Raw genomic sequence first — 7122 nt, forward strand, 5'->3', positions numbered from 1 at the left:
AAGGACCTGAACAGGCATTTCTCAAAAGAAGACATACAAACGGCCAATAGGTCTATTAAAAAAAAATGCTCAACATCAGCCGGGTGCAGTGCTCACGCCTGTAATCCTAGCACTTTGGGAAGCCGAGGTGAGTGGATCACCTGAGGTCAAGAGTTCAGGACCTGCCTGGCCAACATGGTGAAACCCTGTCTCTACTAAAAATACAAAACTTAGCCAGGTGTGGTGGCATACGCCTGTAATCCCAGCTACTCCAGAGGCTGAGGCAGGAGAATCACTTGAATCCGGGGGGCAGAGGTTGCAGTAAGCCAAGATCGCGCCACTTCACTCCAGCCTGGGCGAAAGAACAAAACTCCATCTTAAAAAAAGAAAAAAATGCTCGACATCACCAATCATCAGGGAAATGCAACTCAAAACCACAATGAGACACCACCTCACTCAAATTAGAATGATCGTTTTCAAAAAGACAAAAGAAAACAAACTTTGGCGAGGGTGTGGAGAAAAGGGAACATTTTGGAACAGTATGGAAAATGGTATGCATGGTGGTTCCTCAAAATATTTAAAGTGAGAATGACCATACAATCCAGCAATCCCATTTCTGGGTATGTATCTAAAGGAAATGAAATCGGTATGTCGAGGCAATATCCACACTCGCATGTCCATTGAAGCACTACTCACAATCGCCAAGATATGGAATCAAACGAAATGCCCACCAACAGATGAATGGATAAAGAAAATGTGGTACAGATACACAATGGATCACTACTCAGCCTTTAAAAAGAAGGCAATCCTGCCATTTGCAACATGGAGGAACCTGGAGGACATTACATTAAGTGAAGTAAGCCGGGCACAGAAAGGCAAATACTGCATGACGCTGCTCACGTGGAAAGTAAAAATGTCAGCCTCATGGAAACAGAGCAGAACAGTGGCCGCCAGGACTGGGGTAGGGGAAATGGGAAAATGCTGGTCAAAGGGTACCAAGTTTCAGTTATGCAGGATGGAGACGTTCCAGAGATCTGATGTACAGCATGGTGATTCTAGTTAACACATTTAAAAAAATAAAACCAAAAAATTTGTTGCAAAAGTAAATAATTTATTGTTTAAGGCTAATTCATATTTGGGACAAGTATAAAGAAAACCAAGGAAAGGCTAGGACTAACTGCGAAGGGAAAAAGAAGGGTCCATGATGGCTGTCAGTGGGGATGATTCATCTAAGCAGCATATGCTCTTCCGTGTGTATTAGATTGAACAAGATGAAACTGCAATTTTTGTAGGTTAACAATAAATGAACATTAAGCAACGTCATCTGGTTTTGACCCAAGACATTTATTAATAATAAATCAATGATAAAATAAAACCAAAACACTTTATGCTAATAAACTTGAAAACTTAAACAAAATGGGCATGTTCCAGCCAGGCGCGGTGGCTCACGCTTGTAATCCCAGCACTTTGGGAGACCGACGCAGGTGGATCACCTGAGGTCAGGAGTTCAAGACCAGCCTGGCCAACACAGTGAAACTCCGTCTCTGCTAAAAATACAAAAATCAGCTGGGCGTGGTAGCGGGCACCTGTAATCCCAGCTACTCGAGAGGCTGAGGCAGGAGGATTGCTTGAACCCAGGAGGCAAAGGTTGCAGTGAGCCAAGATCATGCCACTGCACTCCAGCCCGGGCGACAGAGCTAGATTCTGTCTAAAAAAAAAAAAAAAAAAGCATGTTCCTAGAAAAATATTGTTTATCAAAAATTGACTCAAAATAGAATGATTCATCCTAAATTCAGATAGAATCTCAAGGGGCTCCAAATAACCAAAACAATTCTGAAAAAGGAGAACAAAGTTCGAGGACTCACACTTCCTGATTTACAAAATAAAACATATTACAGTGTGGTCCTGGCATAAAGACAGAGACAGAATATAATCCAGAGCCCAGAAAGAAACTCTCAAGTATATGGTCAGATGATTTTTGACAAGGGTATCAAGGCTACAAATTGGGAAAAGGGCAGTCTTTTCAACAAATGGTATAGGGGAAACTTGATATCCACATGCAAAAGAATAAAGTTGGAGGCTGGGCATGGTGGCTCACACCTGTAATCCCAGTGCTTTGGGAAGCCAAGGTAGGAGGATTGATTGAGTCTGGGAATGGGAGACCAGCCTGGGCAAAGTAACAAGATCCCATCTCTACCAAAAACATTAAAAATTTGAGGCTGAAGCACAAAAATTGCTTGAACCCGGGAGGCAGAGGTTGCAGTGAGCTGAGATCACGCCACTGTACTCCAGCCTGGGTGACAAAGTGAGATCTGTCTCAAAAAAAAAAATTAAATTAAAAATTAGCTGGGCATGGTGGTGAATGCCTATAGTCCCAGCTACCCAGGAGGCTGAGGCAGGAGAATTGCTTGAGACCAGGAGTTTGAGGTTACAATGATTATGCCACTGCACCCCAGCCTGGGCAACAGAGCAAGACCTGTCTCAAAAAAAAAAAAAAAAAAGATGGCAAATTTTGTGTTATGTATTTTTTCCCACAATAAAAAAATTACTCAAGAAGAAACAGAAAACCTAAATGGTCCCATAATTATTACAGAAGTTGGATTCATTGTTTAAAATCTATAGGGGGACAGGCAGGAAGCTACAAAAACAAGGAAGGCCAGGCCAGATGCGGTGGCTCATGCCTGTAATCCCAGCACTTTGTGAGGCCGAGGCAGGCAGATCACCTGAGGTCAGGAGTTCAAGACCAGACTGGCCAACATGGCGAAACACCGTCTCTACTAAAAATACAAAACTTAGCTGGACGTGGTGGTGCATGCCTGCAGTCCCAGCTACTCGGGAGGCTGAGGCAGGAGAATCGCTTGCACCCAGGAGGCAGAGGTTGCAGTAAGCCAAGACTGTACCACTGCACTCCAGCCTGGGCAACAGAGTGAGACTCTGTCTCAAAACAACAACAAAACAAAACAAAACAAAACAAAAAAAACAAAGAAGAGAAAAGAAAAGAAACAAAACAAAAAACAGAAAATAAAAAACAAGGAAGGCCTAGATGGTTTTACAGATGATCTCCAGCAAACATGGAAGTAACTGATCATCTCCATCTTAGACTAACTGTTCCAGTGAACAGCTGAAAAAGGAAATACTGCCTCAACTCACTTTACGATGTCTTGATACCAAAACCAGACGAGGATAATAATACGAGGCTAAAAAAAAAAAAAAAAACCACCCAATCCAGAATTGTATATGAAAAAAATACATCACGCAAAGTTGAGTTTAGTCCAGAAAATACAAGAGTGGTTTAACATTTAAAAATGAATTAATGTAATTTGCCACATTAACAGATTAGAGGAGGAAAACCCTGTGATCATATTAATGCATTCAGAAAAAGCATTTTATAAAAATTCAACATATAGCACACTAGGAATGGGAGGGAGCTTTCTAAATCTGATAAACATATCTACCGAATGCTCCCTGCAAACATCATACTTAATAATGGAACACTGAGAATGCCTCCTATGCTTTTTTTTTTTTTTTTTTTTTTTTTTTGAGACAGAGTTTCGCTTTTGTTGCCCAGGCTGGAGTGCAATGGCTCGATCTTGGCTCACCGCAACCTCGGCCTCCTGGGTTCAAGCGAGTCTCCTGCCTCAGCCTCCCAAGTAGCTGGGATTACAAGCATGGGCCACCATGCTCGGCTAATTTTTTTGTATTTTTAGTAGAGACAGAGTTTCTCCATGTTGGTCAGGCTGGTCTCGAACTCCTGACCTCAGGTGATCCACCCACCTCGGCCTCCCAAAGTGCTGGGATTACAGGCGTGAGCCACCATGCCCAGCGCCTCCTATGCTTTCATTCAAAGGAAGTAAAAGCAAGAGAAAGCAAGTCCAGGGAAGTAAAGCAAGGAAACGAAATCAGCCGGGCACAGTGGCTCACGCCTGTAATCCTAGCACTTTGGGAGGCCAAGGCAGGTGGATCAGGAGTTCCAGATCAGCCTGGCCAACATGGTGAAACCCTGTGTCTGGTAAAGATACAAAAATTAGTCAGGCGTGGTGGTGGGTGCCTGTAGTCCCAGCTTCTTGGGAGGCTGAGGCAGGAGAACTGCTTGAACCAGGGAGGCGGAGGTTGCAGTGAGCCAAGATTGTGCCACTATACTCCAGCCTGGGTGACAGAGCCAGACTCTGCCTCAAAAAAAGAAATCAAAGCTAAAAAGACTGGAATAGAAGAAACAAAATGGTCATTACTTGCAGATGATAGGATTGTGTACGCAGAAAATCAAAAAGAATCCACAAAGAGAACCCAAACATAATTATTAGACTTAATATGAGAGTTTACAAGGTTACTTGATACATAGAAATCCATTGTTTTTCTATGTACCAGCAACACACAGTCTGAATGGGAATTCAAAAGAAGGTAGCCAGGCGCAGTGGCTCACAGGCTCACGGGCCAGCACTTTGGGAAGCCAAGGCGGGAGGGCCGCTTGAGTCCAGGAGTTTGAGACCAGCCTGGGCAACATAGCGAGACCCTGTCTCTACAAAAAAATTACAAAATTAGCCAGGCACTGTGGCGCCTGCCTGTAGTCCCAGGTGTTTGGGAGGCTAAGGTGGGAGGATCACTTGAGCCCAGGAGGCTTCAGTGAGCCATGATTGCGCCAATGCACCCCAGCCTGCACGACAGAGCGAGACCCCGTCTCAAAAAAAGAAATCAGATTGATAAATGCTATGATATTAAAATTAAGACTTTCTGTTTATCACATGATACATCAGCAAACTGAGAAGACAAGTAACAGGTAGGCCGAAGACATACACCCCAGGGATTGGTGTGGAAAATACAGAACACCTGCAAAGTGTAAGCCAAGACATGCACGGGCATTTGACAGAAGAAATGAAAAGTGCTGCAATATGGCCGGTGGTCAAGGAATGCCGATTCAAAACCCAGCAGGGCACCATTTCACACCCACTGTATGCGCAGAAACTCTCAAGTCTGCTCTCTGGTGTACGTGAAGACGTGGTGCAGCAGTGGCAGTGGGGGTGTCCGCTGGGATGCCAGCATGGAGAGCTACGTCTTCAGCCCAGCAAACGTGAAGCCCACGTCCCACTGACCCAACGAGTCCCCTTCCAGCATTGAGAAGCCTGGCACACAGCAAGGAGACGACACCAGATCAGTTGACGCTGCCTTCCCATCCCTTGGTGAGGGGACCCGGCCATTGCAGGATAAATCCAGCACGACTCCCCTGACATAAGATGTTCCGGTTCCCCAAACCAGCCTAGATCCTTTCTGGTTACACCAGCTTCAGACCAGGGGCTGCCATAGCCACGCCTCTTATCTGCTCAGAAAGCGTAGAAGGTGCATATGCAGGCCATATACACACATATTTATGAAAATGGTGCTGCCTGTGGATGGATTTATTTTCTTTTTTCTTTCTTTCTTTTCTTTTTTTTTTAAAGACAGAGTCTTGCACTGTCACCCAGGCTAGAGTGCAATGGCACCATCACGGCTCACTGCAGGCACCAACTCCCAGGCTCAGGCGATCCTCCCACTTCAGCCTCCCAAGTAGCTGGGACTACAGGCTCGCACCACCATGCCTGGCTAATTTTTAAATTTTTTTATAGAGATGGGGGTCTCACTATGTTGCCCATGCTGGTCTAGAACTCCTGGGCCCAAGTGATCCTGCTGCCTTAGGCTCCCAAAGTGCTGGGATTACAGGCGGGAGCCACGACGCCCAGCCTGATTTATTTTCTTCTGTGGAAAGGAAGGAGAAACCCATTCCCCATGCCAGATTGCAGGCGTCTGTCTCATCCGGGGCCAGCAAGGACATGTGTGTGTGTGTTGGGGTAGGCATGGGGGGAAGGACAGGGAGAGGGAGAGAGGCCAGCTGGCTCCCCCAAGCCTCCCCTCCTGGAGCTTCTAAATCCCTCCCTGGCTCCTTCAAGGCTGCCTGGCCTTCCTGTTGGGGAGAGACCCCTCGCCGGCTGCTCACTCGCTTTTTGGTGGTCCTTCCCACGGGCCTGCCTGGTCTGCCTCCACATCCTCAGCGGCTGCAGGTGAGAAGCTGTGGATCTGGGGCCCAGTGGTCCAGAGCGTGGCCCGTGCCAGAATGCCCAGGTTCAAATCCCATCTCTGTGGAATGCACTCTGAAGAAACGACGTCAGGTCATGGCCCTGGGCAAGTTACCCACCTCTGTGCCCCATTTCTCTCCATGCAGGTTGGAAAGAATGACACAGCTGCTCAGGGAAGCACCCATACCCCGAGTCTGCTGGGCCTTTGAGCTCCAGGGCCAACACCTGGCCCTATACCCTGGCCGCCCCCAGGGCTCCAGCCACCTGAGCCAAGCTTCTCACCCCCAGGCCTCCCCAGCCCCATCACCATTTCCTCCTCCCTCATGGGCCCCTCAGTCTTACCGTCCTCCCACTTCCGCCAGCCCCTCTGTGGATGGCCCTGCCACAGGGGGAACAGTGCCCCAGCAGAAAAGCCCCAGGGTCGCCTGGATTCTCCTGCCTTCGCCTCCTGCCCTGGGTCCAACGCACAGTCTTCAGAATGCTGCCTCCCCAGAGCGCCTCTAGAACGCGCCCGCCTCTCTCCATGCCCATGACCACCACTGGACCAGGCCTCCCCACATTCTCTGCCCCAGTGCCACCAGCTTGCAGTTGCCCATGGCGAGACAAGTTCAAGTTCTCAAGCCTGGCCACAAAGACCCCACCTGATTTGCTGACCTCCGCCACACCCTGGGAGACGGCCCTTGACCAACCTTGTGTTCCAGTCGGTGGGAAACACTGGTTTTTCCTCAACGCCACGTGGGCATGTCACGTCCAGGCCTGGCCTGGGGTAGGCCTCAGCTCCATCTCCTGCCCAACGCCTGCCAAGGTTCATGGTTCAAGGTCATGTAGCCTGACGGTTAAGTGAAGGGGCCCTGTGATTGACTCAGCCTTGCCACATACTAGCTGTGTGACTTTATTCAAGTTTCCTAACCTCCTGTGCCTCAGTTTCCCAACCTGTGTTTGTTTCTGGATGGTGCCAGTGCCAAGCCCAAGCCTGGCATCCAGTAGGTGCTTCGTGCCAGGTTATGGAATGCCCACCCAATAGGAGGGCGCTGCCGTCTCTCACCTGCCAGGTGCCCACGGTCAGTACTCCATCATGCCCGCTGCGGCCAGCAGAGGG

At 48.0% G+C, this 7122-nt stretch overlaps 1 long non-coding RNA gene across 10 annotated transcripts in view; it reads right to left on the reverse strand.

Moving 5' to 3' along the window:
• The window catches only part of PLXNB3-AS1 (PLXNB3 antisense RNA 1), a 31620-nt gene that overhangs the window by 22146 nt on the left and 2352 nt on the right, over positions 1-7122 (reverse strand). Inside the window, exons 2-5 of one of the 10 annotated variants that reach the window (NR_199701.1) lie at positions 6713-6820; positions 6366-6471; positions 5945-6098; positions 1070-5096 (exon numbers count right to left, since the gene is read on the reverse strand). The exons of 1 other annotated variant lie outside the window; for it this stretch is intronic. This is a non-coding gene — a long non-coding RNA (PLXNB3 antisense RNA 1). Of the gene's footprint in view, positions 1-1069; positions 6099-6365; positions 6477-6712; positions 6853-7122 lie in introns of those variants that run through there. 8 more of the 10 variants (NR_199697.1, NR_199699.1, NR_199702.1 and 5 more) reach the window with 8 other exon arrangements.

Source organism: Homo sapiens, chromosome X (assembly GCF_000001405.40).
Source record: "Homo sapiens chromosome X, GRCh38.p14 Primary Assembly".
NCBI lineage: Eukaryota > Metazoa > Chordata > Mammalia > Primates > Hominidae > Homo > Homo sapiens.